This window comes from Homo sapiens, chromosome 7 (assembly GCF_000001405.40).
Source record: "Homo sapiens chromosome 7, GRCh38.p14 Primary Assembly".
In the NCBI taxonomy this organism is placed as follows: Eukaryota; Metazoa; Chordata; class Mammalia; order Primates; family Hominidae; genus Homo; species Homo sapiens.
The window spans coordinates 77,296,077-77,323,058 of NC_000007.14; the positions used below are offsets into that span (position 1 = coordinate 77,296,077).

The following is a 26,982-nucleotide window of genomic DNA, read 5'->3' on the forward strand; positions in this document are numbered from 1 at the left end:
TCAATATTCTGATTTCCTTTCCTCTGGATAAATTTCCAGTAGGGAGATTGTTGGATCATATGTTCGTTCTATTTGTAGTTTTCTGAGGAACTTCCATATCATTCTTCATAGTGACTGCACTAGTTTACATTCTCACCAACAGTGTATATAAGAGCTCCCTTTTCTCTGCATCCTTACCAGCATTTGTTATTTTTTAACTTTTTGGTAATAGCTATTGTAATTGGGGTGGGATGATACCTCATCATGTTTTTTTAATTGCTATTTCCCTGATGATTAGTGATGTTGAGCATTTCTTCATATACCTGTTGGCCATTTGTATGTCTTTTGAGAAATGTCTGTTCAGATCATTTGCCCATTTTTAAGTCAGATTGTTGTTTTTGTAGTGTTTTTTGATGTTAAGATATTTGAGTCCCTTATTTATTCTGAATATGAATCCCCTATTGGATGAGTAGTGTGCAACTATTTTCTTTGATTCTGTAGGTTGTCTTCACTCTGTTGTTTCCTTTGCTGTGCAGAAGGTTTTTAGTTTGATGTAATCTCATTTGTTTATTTTTGCTTTTGTTGCCTGTGTTTTGAGGTCTTATTCATAAAATATTTTCTCAGGCCAATGTCCTGAAGCATTTCTCCTATGTTTTCTTCCAGTAGTTTTATGGTTTGGGGTGCTATATTTAGGTCTTTGATCATTTTGAGTTGATTTTTAAATAGGGTGAGTAGTAGGGAACTAGTTTCATTCTTCTGCATATGGACCTCCAGTTTCCCCAACACCATTTATTGTAGAGACTGTCCTTTTCCCAATAAGTATTCTTGGAACCTTTGTCAAAAATCAGTTGTCTATAGATATATGGATGAATTTCTTGATTCTCTATTTTGTTCCATTGGTCTATGTATCTGTTTTTATCCCAGTGTCATGCTGTTTTGGTTACTAGAGCTTTGTAGTATATTTAAGATGTGGTAGTGTGATACCTCCAGCTTTGTTCATTTTGTTCAGGATTGCTTTGGCTATTTGGGGTCTTTTGTGGTTACATACAAATTTTAAGATTGTTTTTTCCTATTTTTCTGAAGAATGCCATTAGTATTTTGATAGTGACTACAATCAATCTGTTGATTGCTTTGGGTAGTATTGTCATTTTGTTTTGTTTTATCTATTTTATTTTATTTTATTTTATTTATTTTGGGAGACAGAGTCTCACTCTATCACCCAGGCTGGAGTGCAGTGACATGATCTCAGCTCACTGCAGCCTCCACCTCCAGGGCTCAAGTGATCCTCCCACCTCAGCCTCCTGAGTAGCTGGGACTACAGGTACACACCACCACACCCAGCTAATATTTTTATTTTTTGTAGAGATGGAGTCTCACTAGGTGACCTAGGCTGCTCTCAAACTCCTGGCCTCACGCAATCCTCCTGCCTCAGCCTCCAAAAAGTGCTAGGATTATAAGTATGAGCCACCACATCCAGCCAGAATGGCTATTATTAAAAAGTCACACACACAATAAAGATGTTGGTAAGGTTGCAGGAAAAAGGGAATGCTTAACACTGCTGGTGGGAATGTAAAATTAGTTCAACCACTTTGGAAAGAACTAAAAACAGAACTACCATTTAACCCAGCAATCCCATTACTGGGTATATACCCAAGGAAAATAAATTGTTCTACCAAAAGGACATGTGCACTTGTACATTCATCAAAGCACTATTCACAATAGCAAAGACATGGAATCAACCTAGATGCCCATTAACACTGGACTGGATAAAGAAAATGTGATACATATACACCATGGAATACAGCCATAAAAAGGAACAAAATCACATTCTTTGCAGCAACATGGATGCAGTTGGAGGCCACTGACCTAAGCAAGTCTGAAGCAGAAAACCAAATACTACATGTTCTCACTTAAATGGGGGAGCTAAACAATGAGTACACATGGATATAAAGATGGAAACGACAGACTATTGGGGAGAAGGTGGGGGGAGAGTTGAAAAACTATCTGTTGGGTACTATGCCCACTACCTGGATGATGGGATCATTTGTACCTCAAACTTCAGCATTACATGATTTACCCATGTAAGAAAAAATCTTCTTTAAAGGTTCAGTAGAATTCAGCAATGATGCCATCTGGATTTTTCTTTGTTGGAAGACTATTTTATTTTATATATTTTATTTTATTAATTTATTGTTTTGAGACAGAGTCTCGCTCTGTCACCCAGACTGTAGTGCAGTGGCCAAATCTTGGCTTACTGTAACCTCTGCCTCCCAGGTTCAAGTGATTCTCCTGCCTCAGCCTCCCAAGTAGCTGGGATTATAAGCATGCACTACCATGCCTGGCTAATTTTTGGAATTTTTAGTAGAGATGGGGTTTTGCCAGGCTGGTCTCAAACTCCTGGCCCTGAGTGATCCACCTGCCTTGGCCTCCCAAGGTGCTGGGATTACAGGTGTGGAAGACGTTTTATTACTCATTTAATCTAATTGCTTGGTATTGATCTGTTCAGGTTTTCTATTTCTTCCCAATTCAACCTTGGTAGATTGTATATGTCAAGGAGTTTATTCACTTCCTCTAGGTTTTCTAACTTGACATATAGTACAAAGCACCCTGGAATTATTTTTTGTATCTGTTGTGACATACCCTTTTTTGCTTCTGATTTCATTTATTTGGGTCTTCTCTCTTTTTTCCTTAGTCTAGCTAATGGTTTGTTGAATGTGTTTATTCTTTCAGAAAACCAACTTTTTGTTTTGTTGATCTTTTGTATTTTTTTACTCTCAATTTCATTTATTTCTGCTCTAATCTTTATTATTTCTCTCTTCCTACAATTTTGACTTTGATTTGTTCTTGATTTTCTAGTTGCTTGAGGTATATCATTAGGTTATTTGAAATCTTTCTAGTTTTTTCATGTTAAGTATTTGTTGCTATAAACTTGCTTCTCACTACTGCTTTTGCTGTGTCCCATACGTTTTGGCATGTTGTGTTTCCATTTTCGTTTGTTCCAAAGAATTTTTAAATTTCTTCCTTAATTTCTTTCTTCTTCATTTTGGTCATTCAGGAGCATGTTGTTTAATTTCCATGTATTTGTATAGTTTCAAATGTTCTCATTATTTATGTCTAGTTTTATTCCATTATGGTCAGATATTTGATATGATTTTGATTTAAAAAATAAATTTGGATGCCAGGCAAGGTGGCTCACACCTATAATCCCAGCACTTTGGGAGGCCGAGGCAGGCGGATCACTTGAGGTCAGGAGTTTGAGACAAGCCTGGCCAACATGGTGAAACCCGGTCTCTACTAAAAATATGAAAATTAGCTGGCCATGGTGGCGCATGCCTGTAGTTTCAGCTACTTGGGAGGTTGAGGCAGGAGAATGGCTTGAACCCAGGTGACAGAGGTTGCAGTGAGCCAAGATCGCACCGTTGCACTTCAGCCTGGGCAACAGAGTGAGACTCCATCTCAAAAAAGTGTCTTCATCTCAAAAAAAGTCTCTTTTTGAGACTTGTTTTATTTCTAACCTATGGTCAGTCCTGAAGAATGTTTCATGTGCTGATGAAAAGAATGTGTATCCTGTATTTCACCTGTTGGGTGAAATGTTCTGTAAATGTCTGTTAGGTCCATTTGGTCCATGATATGGTTTAAATCCAGTTTTTCTTTGTTGATTTTCTATATAGATTATCTGTTCAGCACTGAGAATGAGGTGTTGAAATCTCCAACTATTATTGTATTGGGGTCTATCACTCCTTTTAGCTCTTAATATTTTCTTTATATATCTGAGTGCTCTGGTGGTGGGTGCATATATATTTATAATTGTTCTATTGCTGAATTGATCCCTTTATTAGTATATAATGGTCTTCTCTGTCTCTTTTTACAGCTTTTGACTTGAAGTTTGTCTTGTCTCATATAAGTATAGCTACTCCTGCTCACTTTTGGTTTTCATGTGCTTGAAATATCTTTTTCTATCCCTTCACTTTCAGTCTATGTGTGTCTTTACAAGTGAGGTGAGTTTCTTGTAGGCAGCATATAGTTAGGTGTTGGTTTGCTTTAATCCAATTAGCCACTTGATATATTTTATTTTTTTAATTATAAGTTTATTTAATTTTTCCGTAAGTTATTGGGGTACAAATGGTATTTGGTTACAGGAATAAGTTCTTTAGTGGTGATTTGTGAGATCCTGGTGCACCCATCATCCAAGCAGTATACACTGCACCATATATGTTTTCTTTTATCCCTCGCCCCCTCCCACTCTTCCCCCCAAGTCACCTAAGTCCATTGTATCATTCTTATGCCTTTGCGTCCTCATAGCTTAGTTCCCACACATCATTGAGAACATATGATGTTTGGGTTTCCATTCCTGAGTTACTTTACTTAGAATAATAGTCTCCAGTCTCATCTAGGTCATTGCAAATGCTATTAATTCATTCCCTTTTATGGCTGAGTAGTATTCCATTTGTGTGTGTGTGTATGTGTGTGTGTGTGTGTGTATAGATAGATATATAGATATAGATCACAGTTTCTTTATCCACTCATTGATTGATGGGCATTTGGGTTAGTTCCATTATTTTGCCATTGTGAATTATGCTGCTATAAACATGCATGTGCAAGTATCTTTTTCGAATAATGACTTTGTTTCCTCTACGTAGATACCCAGAAGTGGGATTGTTGGATCAAATGGTAGTTCTACTTTTAGTTCTTTAAGGAATCTCCACACTGTTTTCCATAGTGGTTGTACTAGTTTACATTCCCACCAGCAGTGTAGGTGGGATTCCCTGATCGCCAAATCCATGCCAGCATCTACTGCTTTTTTATTTTTTTGATTATGGCCATTCTTTCAGGAGTAAGGTGGTATCACATTGTGGTTTTGATTTGGATTTCCCTGATCATTAGTGATGCTGAGCATTTTTTCATATGTTTGTTGGCCATTTGTATATCTTCTTTTGAGAATTGTCTGTTTGTGGCCTTAGCCCGCTTTTTGATGGGATTGTTTTTTTCTTACTGATTTTTTTGATTTTGTTGTAGATTCTGGTTATTAGTCCTTTGTCAGATGTATAGATTGTGAAGATTTTCTCCCACTCTGTGGGTTGTCTGTTTACTCTGCTGACTGTTCCTTTTGCATGCAAAAGCTCTTTAGTTTAATTAGGTCCCAGCTATTTATCTTTGTTTTTATTGCATTTTTCTTTTGGGGTTTTGGTCATGAAATCCTTGCCTAAGCCAATGTCTAGAAGGGTTTTTCCAATGTTATGTTTTAGAATTTTTATAGTTTCAGGTCTTAGGTTTAAGTCCTTAACCCACCTTGAGTTGATTTTTGTAAAAGGTGAGAAATGAGGATCCACTTTTATTCTCCTACATGTGGCTAGCCAATTATCCCAGCACCATTTGTTGAAAAGGGTGCCCTTTCCTCACTTTATGTTTTTGTTTGCTTTGTCAAAGATCAGTTGGCTGTAAGTATTTGGGTTTATTTCTGTGTTCTCTGTTCTGTTCTATTGGTCTATGTGCCTATTTTTATGCCAGTACCATGGTGTTTTGGTGACTATGGCCTTAGAGTATAGTTTGAAATCAGGTTATATGATGCCTTCAGATTTGCACTTTTTGCTTAGTCTTGCTTTGGCTATGCGGGCTCTTTTTTGGTTCCATGTGAATTTTAGAATTGTTTTTTCTAACTCTGTGAAGAATGATGGTGGTTTTTTGATGGGGATTGCATTGAATTTGTGGATTGCTTTTGGCAGTATGGTCATTTTCACAATATTGATTCTACCCATCCATGAGCATGGGATTTGTTTCCATTTGTATTGTCTATGATTTCTTTCAGCAGTGCTTTGTAGTTTTCCTTGTAGAGGTCTTTCAACTCCTTTGTTAGGTATATTCCTAAGTTTTTTTTTTTTTTGCAGCTATTATAAAAGGGATTGAGTTCTCAATTTGATTCTCAGCTTGGTTGCTGTTGGTGTATAGAAGAGCTACTGATTTGTGGACATTAATCTTGTATCTGGAAACTTTGCTGAATTATTTTATCAGTTCTAGGAGATTTCTGGAGGAGTCTTTAGGGTTTTCAAGGTAAACAATCATATTGTTAGCAAACACTGACAGTATGACTTCCTCTTTACCAATTTGGATACCCTTTATTTCTTTTGTCTGATTGCTCTGGCTAGGACTTCCAGTACTATGTTGAAGAGGAGTGGTGAGAGTGGGCATTCTTGTCTTGTTCCAGTTCTCAGAGGGAATGCTTTCAACTTTTCCCCATTCAGTATTATGTTGGCTGTGGGTTTGTCATAGATGGCTTTTATTACATTAAGGTACGTCCCTTGTATGCCGATTTTGCTAAGGATTTTAATCATAAAGCGATGCTGGATTTTGTCAAATGCTTTTCTGCACCTGTTGAGATGATCGTGTAATATTTTTTTTAATTCTGTTTATGTGGTATATCACATTTCCTGGCTTGCATATGTTAAACCATCCCTGCAACCCTCGTATGAAACCTACTTGATTATGGTGGATTTTCTTTTTGATATCTTGTGGATTTGGTTAGCCAGTATTTTGTTAAGGATTTTAGCATCTACGTTCATCAAGGATATCGGTCTGTAGTTTTTTTTTTTTTTTTTTGGTTGTGTCCTTTCCTGGTTTTGGTATTAGGGTGATGCTGGCTTCATAGAATGAATTAGGGAGAGTTCTTTCTTTCTCTATCCTATGGAATAGTGTCAAAAGGATTGGTACCAATTCTTCTCTGAATGTCTGGTAGAATTCTGCTGTGAATCCATCTGGTACTGGACTTTTTTGTGTGGGTAATTTTTTTTTTGACAGAGTTTCACTCTGTTGCCCAGGCTGGAGTGCAGTGGCGTGATCTCAGCTCACTGCAACTTCCGCCTCCTGGGTTCAAGCAGCTCTCCTGCCTGAGCTTCCAGAGTAGCTGGGACTACAGGCATGTGCCACCACACTCTGTTAATTTTTGTATATTTAGTAGAGACAGGGTTTTGCCACATTGGCCAGGCTGGTCTCGAACTCCTGACCTCAAGTGATCCACCCGCCTCGGCCTCCCAAAGCGCTGGGTTTACAGGCATGAGCCACCATGCCCGGCCTTTTGTTGGTAATTTTTTAATTACCGTTTCCATCTCGCTGGTTGTTATTGGTCTGTTCAGGGTGTCTAATTCTTCCTGATTTAAGCTAAGAAGGTTGTATTTTTCCAAGAGTTTATCCATCTCTTCTATGTTTTCTAGTTTATGTGCGTAAAGGTGTTCTTATTAGCCTTGAATGATCTTTTGTATTTCAGTGGCGTCAGTTGTAATATCTCCTGTTTCGTTTCTCTGTGTGAGGTTATTTGGATTTTCTCTCTTCTTTTCTTGGTTAATCTTGCTAATGGCCTATCAATTTTATTTACCTTTTCAAAGAAACAGCTTTTTGTTTCATTTATCTTTTGTATTTTTGTTTGTTTCAATTTTATTTAGTTCTGCTCTGATCTTTGTTATTTCCTTTCTTCTGCTGGGTTTGGGTTTGGCTTGTTCTTGTTTCTCTAGATCTTTGAGGTGTGAACTTAGATTGTCTGTGCTCTTTCGGACTTTTTGATGTAGGCATTTAGGGCCATGAACTTTCCTCTTACTACATGTTAAGTGTATCCCAGAGGCTTTGATAGGTTGTGTCATTTATTGTCATTCAGTTCGAAGAATTTTTTATTTTCCATCTTGATTTCGTTTTTGACCCAATGCTCATTCAGGAGCAGGTTATTTAATTTCCATGTATTTGCATGGTTTTGAAGGATCCTTTTGGAATTGATTTCCAGTTTTATTCCACTGTGGTCTAAGAGAATGCTTGATATAACTTCAATTTTCTTACATTTATTGAGCCTCGTTTTATGGCCTATCATATGGTCTGTCTTGGAGAAAGTTCCAGGCACTATTGAATAGAATGTGTATTCTGTGGCTGTTAGATGAAATGTTCTGTATATATCTGTTAAGTCCATTTGTTCCAGGGTATAGTTAAAATCCTTTGTTTCTTTGTTGACTTTCTGTCTTGATGACATAAGTGCTGTCAGTGGAGTACTCAAAGTCCCCCACTATTACAGTGTTTTTGTCTATCTCATTTCTTAGGCCTATTAGTAATTGTTTTATAAATTTGGGAGCTCCAGTATTAGGTGCATATATGTTTAGGAAGTGGAGCATTTAGGCCATTTACATTCAATGTTAGTATTGAAATGTGAGGTACCATTGCATTCATCATGCTCTTTGTTGCCTGTGTACTTTTGGGACTTTTTTGTTTTGTTTTTTAACTCGTATTTTTGTTTTATAGGTCTTGTGTGATTTATGCTTTAATGAGATTCTGTTCTGATGTGTTTCCAGGATTTGTTTCAAGATTTAGAGCTCCTTTTAGCAGTTCTTGTAGTGGTGGCTTGGTAATGGCGAATTTGATCAGCATTTGTTTGTCAGAAAATGTCTTTCCTTCATATATGATGCTTAGGTTTGCTGGATACCAAATTCTTGGCTGATACTTGTTTTGCTTGAGGAGGTTGAAGATAAAGACCCCCAATCCCTTCTAGCCTGTGGGGTTTCTGCTGAGAAGTCTGCTGTTAAATCTGATAGGTTTTCCTTTCTAGGTTACCTGGTGCTTCTCTCTCACTGTAGCATGACGAGCCATAGACAAAACCTCTCAGACACCAAGTTGTAGAAAGAAGGGCTTTATTCAGCTGGGAGCATCGGCAAGCTACTGCCTTAAAATCCGAGCTCCCTGAATGCACAATTTCTGTCCCTTTTAAGGGCTCACAACACTAAAGATTTCACATGAAAGGGTCGTGATTGATTTGAGCAAGCAGATGGTACGTGACAGGGGCTGCATGCACCGGTGGTCAGAGAGAAACAGAACAGGGCAGGGAGTTTCACAGTGTTCTTCTATACAATGTCTGGAATCTATGAATAACATCGGTTTCTAAGTTATGAGTTGATTTTTAACTACTGGGTTTAGGCCAGGCAGGCCCGGGCCTGGTTTTGGGCCTGGCGCCGGACTGCCTGTCTTTGGTTTTACTCCCTTGTTGTTTTTTCTTAAAACAGGTACTGAGTATAAAACAATATAAAACAATATGAGAGGGTCTCTCTCTTCCCTCATCACAGCTCTTAAGATTCTTTCCTTTGTCTTAACTTTGGATAACCTGATGACAATGTGCCTAGGCAAAGATCTTTTTGCGACGAATTTCCCAGGTGTTCGTTGTGCTTCTTGTATTTGCATGTCTAGGTCTCTAGCAAGGCCAGGGAAGTTTTCCTCGATTGTTCCCCTAAATACGTTTTCCAAGCTTTTAGAATTGTCTTCTTTCTCAGGAACACTGATTATGCTTAAGTTTGGTCATTTATCATAATTCCAAACTTCTTGGAGGCCTTGTTTGTATTTTATTTTTTTGTCTTCATTGGATTGGGTTAATTTGAAAACCTTGTCTTCGAGCTCTGAATTTCTTTCTTCTACTTGTTCAGTTCTGTTGCTGAGACTTTCCAGAGCATTTTGCATTTCTAAAAGTGTGTCCAAAGTTTCCTGAATTTTTTGTTTTTTCTTTAAGCTATCTATTTCTTTGAATATTTCTCCCTTCACGTCTTGTATCATTTTTTGGATTTCCTTGCATTGGGCTTCACCTTTCTCTGGTCCCTCCCTGATTAGCTTAATAACTAACCTCCTGAATTCTTTTTCAGGGAAATCAGGGGTTTCTTCTTGGTTTGGATCCATTGCTGATGAACTAACGTGATTTTTGGGGGGTGTTCAGCAGCCTTGTTTTGTCATATTACCAGGATTGGTTTTCTGGTTCCTTCTCATTTGGGTAGGCTCTGTCAGAGGGAAGGTCTAAGGCTGAAGGCTATCGTTCAAATTTTTTTTGTCCCAGGTGTTCCCTTGATGTAGTACTGTCCTCCTTTTCCTGTGGATGTGGCTTCCTGTGAGCCAAACTGCAGTGATTGTTGTCTCTCTTTTGGGCCACCCAGCGAATCTGCTTGGCTCCAGTCTGGTACTGGGGGTCGTCTGCACAGAGTCCTGTGATGTGAACCATCTATGGGTCTCTCAGCCCTGGTTACCAGTGCCTGTTCCAGTGGAGGTGGCAGAGGGTGCAGTGGACTCTGGTGGGGGTCCTTAGCTTTGGTGGTTTAATGCTCTATTTTTGTGCTGGTTGGCCTCCCACCAGAAAGCATTAGCTATAGTAGTGTGGAGAGGAACCAGAGGTGGCCGTGGCCCTAGAACTCCCAAGACTATATGTCCTTTGTCTTCCGCTACCAGGGTGGGTAGGGAAGGACTATCAGATGGGGGCAGGGCTAGTTGTGTCTGAGCTCAGACTCTCCTTGGGCAGGTCTGGCTGCAGCTGCTGTGGTGGAGTGGGGTGAGATTCCCAGGTCACTGGATTTGTGTACCCAGGAGGATTATGGCTGCCTCTGCTGAGTCATGCAGGTTGTCAGGGAAGTGAGGGAAAGCTGGCAGTCACAGGCCTCATCCAGCTCCCATACAAACCGAAAGACCAGTCTCACTCCCACCGTGCCACCCACTATAGCCCCAAGTCTTGTTTCCAGGCGGAGGGCAAGTCGGGCTTGAAAACCTGCCCAAGGCTTTCCACCTCCCAGCTGCAAAAGAAAAGGGCTTTAGTTCTTTCCCCGCCTGTGAAGTCTGCAAGCTGGTTTCATGCCCTCCCCCGAGTTCTGGCTAGGAGGCTTCTTCCCCGTTCAAATTGTTACAAAGTTCAGCTAGAGAAGTCCTTCTCCCTGTAGGGTCTTACCTCCTGCTCCTCTGGCCGCCGTCCTGATGGATCCCTGTGGTGCCAGGCAGGAATGGGCTGCTTGGGGATCCAGTGAGCTCCCAGTGCCTTTCTGCTACTTCCTCTACCCCTGTATTTCGCTCAGCTCGAGTCTCTAACTTGGCTCAGCTCCAGGTAAGGTCGGGAACTTCTCCCACAAACAGACCTTCAGCTTCTCCAGTGGGGGTGTGTGTCCAGGAGAGGAGGGTCTCCGTTTCCCACTTCCGCGGTTGGGGCACTCACAGTATTTGGGGTGTCTCCCAGGTCCTGCAGGAGCAGTCTGCTTCCTTCAGAGGGTCTGTGGGTCCTCTCAGCATTGCTGGTCTGTTCTTGTAGTTGATCTGGAGCTAAAATTCATAATGCAAGCCTCTGCATGCTGCTCTTGCAGAGCTGCAATCTAGTTCTGTATCCTGTCTGCCATGATCCACCGAGTCTACATATTTTAAATGGGGGATTTAATCCATTTATGTTTTAGGTTATTATTGACAGGTGAGGACTTACTCCTGTCATTTTATTGATTGTTTTCTGGTTATTTATTCTTTGTCCCTTCCTCTTATTTACTTTTGTGGGTAGATGGTTTTCTGTAGTAATAAGGTTTGATTCCTTTCTTTTTGTGTATTGGCTCTACTGATGAGTTTGCCAGTTTTGCAAGTTTAAAAATTTTTTTTTTTTTTCTGTAGAGACAGGGTCTCACTATGTTGTGCAGGCTGGCCTTGAACTTGTGGCTTCAAGTGATCTCCCCACCTCAGGCTTTCAAAGTGCTAAGATTACACGTGTGAGCAACCATGCCCAGCCAGTTTCACATATTTTCATGACGATGGCGATTGTCTTTTCACTTCCGGATGTAAGATTCCCTTGAATATTTCTTATGGGATTTCATGTAAGGCCAGTCTAGTGGTGATAGATGTCCTTAGTTTTAGTTTGTCTGTGAAATATTTTATTTCTCCTTCATTTCTGAAGGATAGCTTTTCTGGATATAATATTGTTGGCTTTTTTTTTTCCTTTCAGTACTTTGAAGATATCAACCTATTCTCTCCTAGCCTGTAAGTTTTATGCTGAGAAATCTGCTATTAATCTAATGGGGTTTCCCTTACATGTGACTTGACAGTTTTCTCTTGCTGCTTTTAGCACTCTTTATTGTTGCCTTTTGACAATTTGACTACAATGTGCCTTGGAGATTACCTGTTTGGGTTGAATCTATTTGTGGTTCTTTTCGCTTCCTGGACCTGGATGTCCACCTCTCTCTCATGACTTGTGAAATCTTCTATTCATTACATGTTTCCCTCACCTTTTCCCTTCTCTTCTCCTTTTGGAATGCCCATAATATGATTATTTGTTCACTTAATAGTTTTCCATAAATCCTATAGGCTTTCTTCATTATTTTTTATTCTTTTTTCTTTGTCTGCCTGTATTATTTCAGAATACTTGAAGTTTAGAAATTCTTTCTTCTGCTTGGTTTAGTCTGTTGTTGCGGTCTTCAATTGTGTTTTTCATTCATTGAATCCTTCAGCTGTAGGATTTGTTTGGTTCTTTGTTGGATTTTCATTCAAATCATGAATTGTTTTCCTGATTTTGTTGAATTATGTATCTGTATTGTCTTGAATCTGAGTTTCCTTAGGATTATTATTTTGATTTTTTTTGGCATTTCCTATATTTTGTTATAATTGGGGTCTGCTACTGGAGAATTGTTTTCCTTTGAAGGTGTCATGTTTCCTTACTTTTTCATGTTTGATATGTCCTTACATTGATTTCTATGCATCTGGTGGAAAAGTCAGCTCTTCCAATTTTATGGAGGTTTCATAGGGAAAGACTTATTTGTATAAATGAGTTGTGGAGTGTCGGTTCAATGGAGTGCATTGGCCTTCATTCTAGCTGGAAGGAGTAGTGTGCTATCTTTAAAGTTTCTTCAGCTGCAATCCACACTAGTGATGTTTCTCAGTGGCCTAGGTTGAGAGAGTTTGTGGCAACTGCGGTGGGCTCACCAGGCTATTTTTCAAGTTGAGGGCAGATGCATGCACATGGTGGATCAGCCAACTTGGAGTCTGGCTTGCTGAAGTTGGAGCCACGGAGCTTTTACTTTGGCTAGGGAACACGGGCATGTGGTTGCTCAGTCAGCCTAGGGACGTTTCTGCCAGGGGCAGCCAACTGTTTCAGGCTGTTTCTCACACCCTGAATGCAGGCACAATGCTGCATGGCTGGCCTAGGGGCACATTTGCTTAGAGTGGCCTACGGGGCTGTTTATCATCAGGCCTAGGGCACAGGTGCAAGTCTGCTTGGCAGGCCAGGACATGTGCTTATGAGGAGTGGCCCATGGGGCTGTTTTTCAGGCCTGGTATGCAGACACACAGCTCCTCAGCTGGCCTGGAGGCATGTTTGGTAGGGACACCTCACAGGGCTGTTTCTCAGACCTGGGACATGGTCATACAGCATCTCAGCTGGCCTGGGTATGTGTCTGCTGAGGGTGGTCCACGGGACTGTTTCTCTGGCTCAGGACACAGGCATATAGCTGCTCAGCCAGCCTGGGAGCAGCCCATGGAGCTGCTTCTCAAGCCCAGTATGTGGGTGCAAGGCTGCTCAGCTGGCCTGGGATCATGTCTGTTAGGGGTAGCCCATGGGGCCATTTCTCAGGTCCAGTTCGTGGGCACAGAGCTGCTCAGCTGGCTTGGGGGTATGTCTGCCAGGGGTGGGCCCAGGGCTGTTTCTCAAGCCCATGATATGGCTGCATGACTGTTTAGCTGGCCCAGTGGTGTTTCTGGAGGGAAGGGGGTGAAAGTATCTTTATTTCATACTGGTAGCTGTTATGAATTTTATTTTGCAACTCTGGGAGTGAGAAATATTCCATCCCTTTATTTTACTAAATTCATCTGTACAAGGTCCTAATCCTGCCAGATTTAAAAGAAATTTAATGTCTCCCAGCCTAAATCTTACCTGCTTGGTGAGTCATAAAGCAATTACTTGGGAGTGCCTTTGAAAATAAGAAATACTGCATATTTAAACATAGTTCCTGTATTGTAGGAATTAGTAACCTCATTAGGGATTCAAAAATACCCACAAAGGAAGTTTGAGCAACCTAAGAATGGAAAACTAACATCACAAAGGGAAGGATAGTTTAGTTAAATATTACAATGCATGGTACTGACTCAGAAGGAAGATGCCACCAGGTGCTAGAATGACCTGGATCACAGAACTGTTTATCTGACCCTTAAGCATGAATAAGATTTTAACAGACGAGGGAATCCAGGTGTGGGAAATAATAACCTAAAGAAAGGCTTGGAACTAAGACAAGAATTGTGTTCAAGGCCCAGTGAACTGACCTGGCTGGAAGAAAATGTTCCTATTATACAAGGCAGGAATTTGGGACACCTTGAATGTCAAGGAGTTTGAATTTTATCCTATAATGAATAGCAAGTTATTAAAGGATTATGAGCAGAGTGACCAGATCAAACTAGTGTTTATCTCAAATATGTTTCAGATAAATTTAGACCTTAGGGAGCAACTAAAACAATCCAGGTATGCAAAGAAATGAATGAAAGCAGGGATTGAAAGATAATGACCTTATCAAGAGAAAGAATCAGCATTGCATTGACTAGGCTCCAAGATTTTGAGTATTGGTAACAATGAAGTATTTGACCAAAAAGGGTAATTCTATGAGAGAGGACAATTTTTAGAACAAAATGATTTTAGACAGGAAGTTGAATGATCATACCAGCTAATGATATTTATAATCATTAAAATCTCAAGTTCAGTCTGAAGACAGAAAAGCAAAAGGTTGTGGGCTGACCTTGGGCTGCAACTGTATTTATGGGTTAGAATGAAATCACTATGGAAAAGCGAAAAAAAGAAATGGTACAATGAGTTAGGTGTCACATGGGGGCCTTTGGAGAAAATGTTCATAGACGCATGATTCTTGGCTTCAATAAGAAGGCTACATTCAAAAAACAGGGAAAGTCAGGCCAAAACTATGTTTTCAGGTTTTTTAATGACTGACAAAATATTCCTAAATCAACCTTTTATAAATAAAAAAAAATAAATATGTTTCATCTGAATTCACAAAGACAAACCCTGCTGCAAATACTAAGTACAAATTATTCTGTACTGGACATGGCAAATCTGATTTAGTACAAATTCAGTTTTTAAAAGGACCCTCTTTCCAAATAGTGTTCTTATGTAACATTTAATTTTTATGCCTATTATTTCAATGACACACCTAGTTTTTGCTTTTCTAAGCACTGTTCCCTACATTTTTAAAGCATATTTTATTTCAGAGTGCAACAGAAACTAGCTTGTGGCCTATTAAGCTACTAGGAAGAGCATCGTTTATGCCACTGTATGCCTTCTTAGGCCATTTATCATTTCTCTACACTTGATTGCTCACTGGCTATTCAAAATTGGAATGTGATACAGCAGTTCTGTCTGAACGTGTACCAACCTGAAACTCACATGGCTAAACAATTATGGCTAAACTATTTTTGTTACCAATTTTAAATATTGTTAAAGAATTCTCAAAGGAGTAAGGTTAATGAGCAAGATTAAAATGGCAGCAGCAGATCCAATTGCGTTTTCTTTTTCATAAGCCTAAAAGCATCGCGGTGTGTTTCAGAGCTGCTTCCTCTACAAATTCTGCATCCACATTGTCATGTCCTTCAAAAGGATACAGGGCTGGAAAAAAATGGGGAGAGGGCAGGGAAAAAGGGTTACCATGGGTCCGTGAAACATTTATAACTTTGTGCTCACAGCTCATTAAAATCATAATTGTATTTTAGTAAAATGAATTTTTTAAGAATGTGTTCTTAAATTTAAACTTCAGCACCAAGAACATTTGCATCAACCAAATGGGCTTTAAACCTCTTGACTCTTTTAAAACTTCAGAGGTGATTATTTGGTAATTTACTCTAGGTAGTAAATTTGGTACTGCTAATGTAAACCAATTGCTATAAGGGTCTACTTGTATGTTAAAAGGATTTTGGAAAGAAGACAAAGAAGTGAATAGGGAAGGACTGATGTGTCAAGGGAAAAGTGGTAAGACCCTGAGAACAGGGGAGTAAATTACCTTGATTGGAGGACTCTATATCTGTCAGAATTTCAATGAAGTAGTTCAGAGGCAGAAATTCTACACTGAACGATGACTTGTTAATCATAGAATTCCGAGGCTAAAAGGGAAACCACTTCTGGTGTAAGCTGATTCTCCACAATAAGCACAATTTTAAAATAAAGTGATAAGAACTGTAATTGCTGTCCATACAGATATGTTGTCACGGGCAAACAGGATCCTAAAAACATTTAGTTGGCTGTGCTTTCAGAGAAACTCACCTGTTTCTTATAGTTCTGAAGCAGTCGCGTCACGTGGTTCCGCGAAATGATGTTAGAACTCATAGGATGATCCCAAAGTCTACAAATCTTCTGCCCAATAAGCTATTATGCAAATTGAAAAAAATGTAGCGAATACCACACACTATATTAAGTAAACACACCTTATATCTATTCATAATTTTAAAAGTATTATTCCAAAGTAGCTGGTTAGTCTCCAGGCCCTTGATGATTAAGGACCCTTGGAGAAATGCCATGTTCCTATGAAGTTTCTATGAGGGAGTAAATACTCTCTCAAACGCTACATTGAGGAAAGTGGTTTATACACTGATGTTGCCAAACCCTTTTACTGAAATGGAGTTTATCTGCTGCTCTTCAAAACCAGAGATGGGCATGCCAACTCTGATGTTTTGACCGGAAACTAAGGGGGGTACGCATGTTTATATCAACTTCTCTGCCATTGTCTTGCCTAGAAAATTTTAATTCCCTAAGAGTACTGGGGAAATAAACAAATTTGGAGACCAAATTAAATATTCAGCAATGTTTCCCAGAGAGATCTAGCTATGGAAAATATGCTTTGTTTTCTATTCTTGCCTTTGCTTCAGTAAGCCTGTGAGTGAGGGGCAAGGGCCACTACAGAGCAGGGCGATTAGGTCCAGAAAGGTAACAGACAGCCGTTCGTGAGAGGACAGTGCCAGAGGTGCAAGTGTGCAAGGCATGTACACAGCAGATGGAGCTGGCTAAGGCTCTCCAGGTCAGGAAGTTTGCAGAGTTAGAGGCTCGGAAGACCTTGCTGTGGAATTTCATATTTTCATAGTATCTCTGACTCTAAGTGTTGATATTCCCTTGTGTTTCTCATTCTTCTTTTGACCTAGGAATGTCTTCCTACCATGTCATATTTTCATAGTATCTCTCACTCTAAGTGTTGATATTCCCTCATGTTTCTCATTCTTCCTTTGACCTAGGAATGTCTTCCTACCATGGTAGAAATGCAGTAAGGGGAAATACAGGTCTAGAACCTTCTGTCCTCACCTGTATTCCAATGTATCCAAGTTAAATCTGTTTAAATGCCAAAAGCACGTTTCCCCTTCTCCCTCCCTCTCAGACTCAGATGTAAATATTAGTGTGGTTTCCTAAGAGGCAAAAATGGCTTAATGTTCTCACTGGACTGTGCCAAGGCAGTGCAGAGCCAGAGAGCAAGTGCTTTGTAGGCCAAGTGGGAAACAGCTAACAGAGGGCTGGGGACGGGTGGGATTTCTTGGAAGTGTTGAAAAGTGAAACAATTCAATTGACTTTAACCCAAAGCAAGTAAATGCTCTTTTTGCAAGAAGAAATTGAAGGAGGGTAATGCCAAAGCTTAGGGAGAAAATAAAATGTAACTCAGTATTACCGGAGGAAGCCGCACAATGATACTGAATTTCAGTTTTTCATTTTTCTCTGTATTATCCAGATCTACAAGAAAGTTAGAGATTAGCAAATGAAACAAATACCCATTTTGATACTTTAGCAAGTTAATATTAATACTTGAGTGGTTCATCTTGATAGGACATATCCCAACTGTGTATTCTCAAGCTAATCTAACAGCATTTTGGAAATTTTACTCTGACTCTCTGAATAAAAAGGGATTTTTCTATAACAGGCTGCCAGGTACAAAGCAATTTTATTGACTAACTTAAAACAGAAGGTACCTTGAGGAATGACAAATGCTTTCATATAAACAAAAATCATCTTAAAATACAATTGAATAATTTGAGTGATTATACTACAGAATTTAAAGTTCAAATTCATTTAATTGCCCCTCTCAATAATTTTCCTTGCATTTCTAGTCTAACTTTGAGATGACAGAGTTAATCAGCTGAAAATAAGCCATTTCGTGACATTTTCTTGAGAAACAAGCCTGCAGAGGTTCCTAGCCTCAAGTGCCCTCTTGCACAGAAAAGGAATCTAATAGTTGTATGTGGATTGAAAAGTCCCTTAGGACCTCGTGAAGGGCTCAGAAACCTTAAATTGGCCCAAAAGATGATTACAGGGAATGGATTGTGCTCACAGGACCAGCTGTATAATTTGTGGGGCTCAGCACAAAATGAACACGAGCAAGCCCTCGTTCAAATACTACTAAGAATTTCAAGATGTAATGCAGCATTAAACTGAGCAGGGCACTCTTCTGAGTGCAGCCAGGCTCTTGGTGACTGCACAGGTTGCACACCCAAGAAGCTAGCCTTGGTGGTGCTCAGGCTGGAACTAGCACTCTGGCAAACTCAGGGCTTCTTACCTTTCATGAGCCTTATGACAGCTGTTTCAGTGAGAAGCAACACTCCACTGTCAATGCAATGCAGCAGGTTATGCAAAGGGAGACACTGGACCCCGAGGATGGTGTGCAGAGTATGAAAACCTAGGATGAGAGATCTGGAGGGTAAACACAGTCAGCCAACATCTCCAGCAGCCCCCGGGGAATGGATTAGATCATGTTAATAAAGCACTTAGTTCAGTGCTTGGTGCCTGGAACCAACTGAATTTCTTGAAAACAAGGTCCAAGTTTCCTTCTCTGTATTATTCGTAACTAAATATCACGCTGGGTCTATAGTAAGTTTCCGGTAAGTATACATTCCTTGCTCCTTGGGTCTCTTCCTGCACAGAAACAGAGCAAGGGCCTGCTCAATGGTTTTACGGTTTGATATGTTTGTGATTCTACAGTAAGATAGCAAAAGAGTACAGAAGCATTTCAGATTTCGTATGTCCAGACTAAAAGGTTGTTGGGATGAGGACCATTTTGCTGAAGGGAAACAAATTTGGACCAGAAGGCAATAGTTTATATGGCTTATCTCTGGGTATGCCCTAGAGAAAGGCTTTTAGAGTCTACTTGGACTAAAGTATAGAAAAGAAAGAATTAAGACAATATGGCCAGATAGTAAATTTATAGGAATTCAATTGAGAGGCAGGCATTCTCAAGCCTGTCTCACGGGTAGAGCTACCCACAGAAACCCAGATCTCTAAGTATACTACTACTGACAACAGATAAAAACATCATGCATGGGAGAAGGTATCAGACCAGGAGAGAATCAAAACAGCTCTCTTGGAAGTGATGGCATTTGCGGGGAGCTTCAAAGGACAGATGCAATTCCTATCAGTGGAAATGAGTGCGGACAGTAGAAAAAGCCAGGTTTGGCATGAGCAGCCCTAGGCCAGAATCCAGCTGTATTACTCACCAGCTGCAGGCAACTAAGCCTTTCTGAGCCTCCATTTCTTCATCTCTAAATTGGAACCACCAGTACCTTTCCCACAGGGCTGCTTTGAGAACTAGAGCCAGGTCTGTGAAGAGCCTAGCATGCAATATAACAATAGCGACCCATACTGGACATGTACCAAGGCTTTCAACCTGTGTCCTGGCTCATCTGATCCTCATACAAAAGTATGGGGTGGGAATTACTAGATTCCCATTTCATAAATGGAAAAACCAAAAGCCAAGATTCACAGGAGCTAGGCAACTTGCCCAGGATCACAGAAATAATAATGTGTAAGTTGAAATTTGCATCAACTGTGTGATTGTAGGGTAGGCTTTCAACCATAATGTCACTGTTAATAACTGGCAGCTGTGTTAATAGAACATGAACAGAGGTCCGAAGATGAGAAAGCACAGGGCATATTCAGAAAATAGTAAATGATCCAGCTGGGTTGGAATCATATTAGAGGAGAGAAAGATTAAGAGGTAAGGTTGGAAAAGCTAATTTATTCAGCACATCCCTTCCACACACCTGGCAAGGGGCTAAGAGTATAAAAATGAGCAAAACAGGCACAACTGCTGCTCCCATACACCTTGCAGTCTGCTGGGGGAGGCAGACAATCAATTACAAAAAATAGACATTTTTAAAAATGTGACCAGTTCTGTGCTTATGAGTGCAGGTGACAGAGGTTGAATGCTGAATGATAGAGATTTATTAATTTGAGAGACTTTGAGGAGGTAATGAAAGTTTTTAAGCAGAACAGAAGATTTACCATTGGGATATTAATATGGCAACAGGCAAAGAATGAGTTGGAGTAATAATTTGCTACAGAAGGTATGAAGACCTGTAGAGAAGCTATTGCCTGAACGTGGATAAGAGGTAATGGAGGCACTGAATCAGAGAGGCATGGTAACATGTACAGGCTTTGCAACTCATTGAATGTGGGAATGACTGACAGAAGAATCATAGCCTACTCTTGGGAAGGTACCTGACAAAAGGATGATGCCCAACGAGCAGGGCTTGGATTCAGAGAAATCATGGGATTTTCTCTCTCTAAACACATGAATCACAAGCCATGGGGCACAGTCCTAAGTCCTTGTAACATCAAGGGTCAGATGAAGTACAGGCTCTGCCCACAAGCATGTGTTAATGGGCTAACAGGATGAGTCCACTAGCTTCCCTGAGTCCAAAAAAACTCCACTATTTTACTAGTTAATTAACAACAACGTTTTTCAAATGGATTTGGAAATTCTTCACAAAACTATTAGTAAAAAGTTACAAAATTATTTCTGAAGAAAAGTTTACACTAGATTATTGATGATATTGATTTTCTGGATTCAAATTTCCCTCTCCAGCCCTGTGTTCATATGCTAAAGGTCCCTGATGACCCTTCATCCTCTATCCCCAGGGCACAGTCCCAAGTTCAGGGACCTGTTCTTGGCCTCTATACATCAGCTCTGAGCAACAGAGCAAATTGGCTATAATTAGTCATCAGCTCCACCCAACTTTAATCCTCATCTTCCAGGGCTCCTGGCCTCCTCTAGCCAGCAAGTGCAATACAGTTCCTTTTTTTAAAAGCAAATGCCCTAGCTCTAAACCCTGACTTCCTTTTTGTGTTCCCCATTCTCTTCTTAACTTTAACCAATTCATGTTACAAGTCTCTGACAATCGTAACTCAAACAGTCATCATTAGTCCAATAGGCCTGGAAAGCAAGCACACTTACGCATGTGCATATAGAAACACCCTGAATTCATACAAGCATGCACATGCACACACACACATGATCCAGTGTCACCTCCCCCCTCTATTTCCATGTCACATGATGGAAATAAACATTCAAGAGAAAAGGAGAGAGCATGGAATACTATGCAGCCATAAAAGAGGATGAGTTCATGTCCTTTGCAGGGACATGGATGAAGCTTGAAACCATCATTCTCAGCAAACTATCCCAAGGACAGAAAACCAAACACCACACATTCTCACTCATAGGTGGGAATTGAACAATGAGAACACTTGGACAAGGGTTGGGGGGGAACATCACACACTGGGGCCTGTCGTGGGGTTGGGGGCTGGGGGAGGGATAGCATTAGGAGAAATACCTAATGTAAATGACGAGTTAATAGGTGCAGCAAACCAACATGGCACATGTATACCTATGTTACAAACCTGCACGTTGTGCACATGTACCCTAGAACTTAAAGTATAATTAAAAAAATGAGAAACACCTTTTCCTTACCTGACCCACAGACACAAGCCATAAGTCTACTTATAATAATTCTCGATCACTATGGATAACATCTTTGTTTTCCCTCCTTATCACTGTGAAGGAATGTGAGTTGGGTAGAAAGTGGATTTTTATGATCTCCAGGCGTAACAATGTCCCCAGTAAGTCAGTTTCATTTATTTTCAAAAGAAGCTTGAATATCTGTAATGAACAAATCTAAAACTGTCAATCCATTTCCCTACCAAATTTTTTGTGTTAACAACAAACAATTAAGAATTTAAGCCACAAAGGTAGTTTTCCTGTAATCCTTCAATCTTTCTAGGGTGTACCTCATAACTCATATTCCATTGGGATAATTTTAAACCATCCATTCCCCTCACAAATGGTCCCTTTCAACTCCTTTTGTACTGCCATACAGACAGACATTAAATAAGGTGGATGAAGAATGAAGGATTCCAAACCGTATCAGATGTGTCATAAATGCAGAGCAGCATATGCTGTAGGGATTCTTTAGGCCCATAAATAGCCCATGTTTCAACATCAACTAATTCAACTGGAATATAAAATTCAAGAAGCAGCATGGATTTTGGAGCCAAACTGCCTGGATTTGAATATCAGCTCTGTCACTTAATAGCTATGTGACTTTAGGCAAATTACTCAACCTTTCTGGCCTCAGTTTCACCATCTATAAAATGGGAATAATATTAAGTGGAACCACATGAAAGTGCCATTTTTGTTGGCCAAAAAATGGTTGGGCACTGACAATTTAATGTGGTCCAACTTAAGTTTCTACCAGTTAAAATTTTATGAAAATTAAGTGTACTAATTTGTGTGTACTTTCAACAGTACGTGGCACAAAATGAGTATCATATATATGTTGGCCTAAAATGAAGCAATGAACAAATGATGAATGGATGAATATATATGAATGAAGTAACTAAATATCAGCTGATATGTAGTTACAGCTATCATAAAGTTTAACACTCATTAGAACTTTATATGCAATAATAAATCCATTCATGTTTAGGCAACTAATCTTCAAAAGCACCAAGAACACACAATGGGGAAAGGATCGTGTATCTCTGATAAATGGTGTTGGAAAAACTGTCCATAGGCAAAAGAATGAAATGGGACCCTTATCTTTACCATAAACAAAATTCAACTCAAAATGCATTAGAAAGTTAAACATAAGACCTGAAACTGAAAAACCCCTAAAAGAAACATAGAGGGAAAGCTTCTTGACATTGGTCTTGGCAATGATTCCTTGAATATGACATCCAAAGCACAAACAATGAAAACAAAAATATGTAAGAGGGACTACACCCAACAAAAAAGCTTCTGCACAGCAAAGGAAACGATCCTGGGCCTGTTGTGGGGTGGGGGGAGGGGGAAGGGATAGCATTAGGAGATGTACCTAATGTAAATGATGAGTTAATGGATGCAGCATACCAACATGGCACATGTATACATATGTAACAAACCTGTGTGTTGTGCACATGTACCCTAAAACTTAAAGTATAATAATAAAAATATATATGTATAAAAGGAAACGATCCAAAGAGTAAAGGCAAAACCTACAGGATGACAAAAAGTGTTTGCAAACCATATATCTAACAAAGAGTTAATATCTAAAACATATAAGGAACTCAAACCTCAATAGCAAGAAAACAACCAGATTAAAAAATGGGCAAGGGACTTGAATAGACATTTCTCCAAAGATTGCAGACAAATGGCCAACACTTATGTGAAAATATGCTCGACATCACTAATCATCAGGGAAATGCACATCAAAACCACAATGAGGTATCACCTCACATCTCTCAGGTTGGCTACTATCAAAAAACCACAATTTAAGTGTTATCAAGAATGTGGAGAAATTGGAATCCTTATACACTGTTGGTGGGAATGTAAAGTGGTACAGCCACTGTGGCGAACAGTATGGAGGTTCCTCAAAAAATTTAAAAAAAAGAATCAATATATGATCCAGTAATCTCATTTCTGGATAAATATCTGTAAGAACTGAAATCAGGATCTTGAAGAGATATGTATATACTCCCATGTTTATCACAACATATTCACAATAGCCAAGATAGGGAAACAACCTAAATGTCTACTGACAGATGAAGAAAGTGTAGAATTTACAATGGAGTATTACTCAGCCTTAAAAAATGAAATCCTGCTCCATGTGACAACATGGATGAAACTTCAGGTCATTACACTAAGTGAAACAAGCCAGTCACAGGACAGATACTGCATGATTCCACTTACATGCAGTATCTAAAGTAGTCAAACTCATAGACACAGAAGGTAGAACAGTGCTTGCCAGGAACCGGGGAGTAGGGGATAAGTAATTGCTGTTCAATGGGTATAAAGTTTCAGCTATGAAAGATGAGTAAGTTCTAAAGACCTGCTATCCAACATTGTACCTATATTTAACAATACTGTATTGTGCATTTAAAAATTTGTTAAGAGGGTAGGTCTCAAGTGTTCTTACACAATAAAAAAATGAACTGATATGTAATGAGCACAAGACAGTTTATAGCTAACAGGGGCTTATTTCTCATAATGGATACTGATTTCTATGTACATCTTCCCAACTAGACTCTTACTAATCTTTGTAATTGCTCTAATTTCTAGCACGTTACCGGTCATGTCATAGTTGCTCAACAAATATTTGTTGACTAAATGAACAAATGACCAATTAAATGAATGACTGCATATACATCTCCCCAGGATGTTTTGTGGCCTGACTTGATCCTATTTAAAAATTCCAAGGGAATTTTTTAGCCTCCAAGCGTATAAGAATCAGTTCAATTCTTGGCACCAAGCCAGACCGACTTCCCAGTGTTAATCTTCAGACATCTCAATCAGATAAACTAGGCCTGGAGACATCAGAGACAGAGCTCCCTGAATTAGTTCTACTAGTTCAAATTATCCTAGAAAGCTGCATGGGGTAAGCCTAGGTTCCCTAAAGTTAGTAATAAGCTACATCATAGTTTAGTAGTCAGAGGAGCTCTGGTCAGCAGAGACCAACCTAAGGGCCCATCACTCACAGTAACACCAGATACACAATTTCTCATACACAAGTCTCATCATCAAACTTATAATGTACCAAAGGCAAGGGCCCATATGAAGAAGAAATAAATTTATTATACCAAAGGACAAAAGAGCCAACACTTACCAGGAGGCAGAGGTAAAAACAAACTGTTTGTAGCTTCCAGAATCCTGGTCATGATGTGAAAAACTGCAAATTCAGCAGCACTGCCACGACTATTGCTGGGTAAAAAAAACAAAGCAGCATGTCAGCCAAGGAGCTCATCTGTGATGCTCCATTTGTCCTAAGCAGTGGCTTTGAGTACTACACAAGGGTTCATGCTAATCATGAAATGCTATGCCTTGTAGAAAGCCCCATAAATATGAATGTGACCATCGGCCTAATGCCTAGAATTTAATCAGAGTAGGAACATATGTTACACATTGTATTAAGTGAAATTCCCCTTCTTGGCAGTACTGGGCTCATTTGTCCCTCCCCTGTCACCAACCATGTGCCAGGGAAAGAGGATGGGTAAAGTAACGGGCATAACTTTGTTTTAATTTTAGCTTTTATTATACATTAAAGGGTACATATGCAGGGGGGCATAACTTTAAATGCTGAGTATAGAATTAAGCTAGATGGTGTTGAAGCTGGTGAGAACTGATTTGAACTAGTGCATTTCAAAAGGGTTTTGCTACAACAGAGTTGTTTCCACTCTTTGTACACCATGATAAAAGTGAGAAATACTTGCGTACAAGTGGAGAACCCAGGAATGAAGATTATGTTTCCTCCAATTGGTTTCTACGATGTGGCAAATGAGATCCAGCTGGAGGGTGAAGACAGTCCATTAACCATTGCTCCATTCCTTCCCTCAAGGGCCCCACAGCTAGGCCTCCACAACTCAGATAAGCATTTCAGGGCAGCTGGCATTCAGGCTGCATCCAGACACACAACTAGCCTTTCTGAGGTCAATTCTGAAGCACTGAACCCAAAATAGAAAGACTGAAAATGTGCACCAGAAACTAACAAAGCATCCTCTGTTTGTGTGGGCAGTGCCCCAGCTCAGCCTCCCCAGCCCAGCTAACTGGCCCCACCACTCACACTTACAGACCCCCATCCATCAGTGAAGGTAAAGTGCTACAGGGTTTGCTCCAGGCCTGTCACAACGCAAGAGCCAACAGTGGACAGTCAGAAGAAAAGAGACACAGAATGGAGGTCATGATCATGAGCTGTGAAGTAAGACTGGTATCAAGTCCAGATTCTATACATTACTAGTTGTGTTACCCTACACAAGTTACCCACCCTCTCCAAATTGCAGTGTCCTCATCTGTAAAGTGAGGGGAAATATTTCATAGGGTTTTTGTAAGAATTGGTTAGCACACTGACTGGAACTAATCAACCAAAGTAGGTAGCCTTCTTTGTCTTAGAGCTTTATCCAGAAACCCATTCTAACGCTGCAACGAGTTTGCCAGCAGAAGAGCAGTCCCTATGGAGTTGTTATCAGCCACGAATCCACACATTGTGTGGGCTAAAAACGGGGCAAAGCAGAAGGATCTCCATAGACTCACAGGCAAACGCTATCCTTGATACAGATCCTCAGTTTCTCTTTGGCTGAAATTAAGTAAGTTAACATGTAACCAATATAATCAGGTTCTGCAGCAACTTCCTTGGATATGTTTTAGAAAGGATGCCAGCCACTCTCCTTAGAGGGGAGCAGAAGGCATGACTAGTGGCTGCTGGGCAGGGGCAGGGAGATGTGGCCTCAATCAGTGACTGCTGAGTCAATGTCAGGGACCTTGAGTTTTCTGAGACTTCATATGTATCGTTTCTGGGCCTATTGGTTCTACAGGCTGTTAACACAAACTAGTGTTAAAACTTATGTTATTAACAATGGAGAAAAATGACGCTTGAATGGAAACCCTTCTTAGCACTTTGGGAAGTAAGATTTCGAGTCAACAGAAATAAAGGTGATAGGTGGATGTGTTAAATCACTGTGTGTTGTGAGTTTTTTTTTTTTTTTTTTTTTTAAAGCAAGTTAATGTCAACATGGGGAGGATCAGTAACACATTCATCAAGTGAGTTCCTTGGTACAGTGCTATTGAGAAGGAGACTTAAGAAAGATTCAAATCCCTGATTATAAATATCACTACATGAGAATACTAACCTCTCCTAATATATTAAATACTATGAAACTCAAACCTTACTATAGAAATTCAAATATATTACGTAGAAACAACACTAATGGCTGCAATAAAGGCAGAAAACTTGAAAATTAAACATGAAATGATTAAATCAGGATTATAGCTAATAAATTTAACAAATCTTCCAGAGTTCAATGGAAAAATATATGTTCACACACTGGCTTATTTGCATACTGGTCTTATACAAATTTGGAGAAATAATGGAGTGTTCTTTCTCTTTCTGTGCAAACATTTTTTTGAATTTGTCAAACATTATTTCTAGACTCTAAGCAAGATCAGG

The 26,982-nt window shown here is 39.7% G+C and overlaps 1 protein-coding gene across 21 annotated transcripts in view, besides 1 other annotated feature; it reads right to left on the reverse strand.

Moving 5' to 3' along the window:
- Nucleotides 1-14,674: 14,674 nt before the first annotated feature.
- GSAP (gamma-secretase activating protein) overlaps nt 14,675-26,982 on the reverse strand; it is a 105,880-nt gene continuing 93,572 nt past the window's right edge. For 14 of the 21 annotated variants that reach the window (NR_146938.2, XM_047420491.1, XM_047420493.1 and 11 more), the window contains 7 exons: nt 25,257-25,327; nt 24,649-24,743; nt 18,294-18,413; nt 17,412-17,473; nt 16,025-16,126; nt 15,765-15,864; nt 14,675-15,373 (listed from right to left, as the gene is read on the reverse strand). Coding sequence is in view for 19 of the 21 variants with exons in the window: in XM_047420491.1 (XP_047276447.1) it covers nt 15,282-15,373; nt 15,765-15,864; nt 16,025-16,126; nt 17,412-17,473; nt 18,294-18,413; nt 24,649-24,743; nt 25,257-25,327 (642 nt within the window). In the remaining 2 variants the exon portion in view is untranslated. Of the gene's footprint in view, nt 15,374-15,764; nt 15,865-16,024; nt 16,127-17,411; nt 17,474-18,293; nt 18,428-21,479; nt 21,669-24,648; nt 24,744-25,256; nt 25,328-26,982 lie in introns of those variants that run through there. The other 7 variants (XM_047420494.1, XM_047420487.1, NM_001350899.2 and 4 more) reach the window with 4 other exon arrangements.
- Nucleotides 20,016-20,517: an enhancer, noted in NCBI's record as "NANOG hESC enhancer chr7:76945409-76945910 (GRCh37/hg19 assembly coordinates)". NCBI's record gives its function as "activates a minimal SCP1, AML or CMV promoter by ChIP-STARR-seq in naive H9 embryonic stem cells {active_cell/tissue: H9 hESC(naive)}" and the evidence as "EXISTENCE:reporter gene assay evidence [ECO:0000049][PMID:30033119]".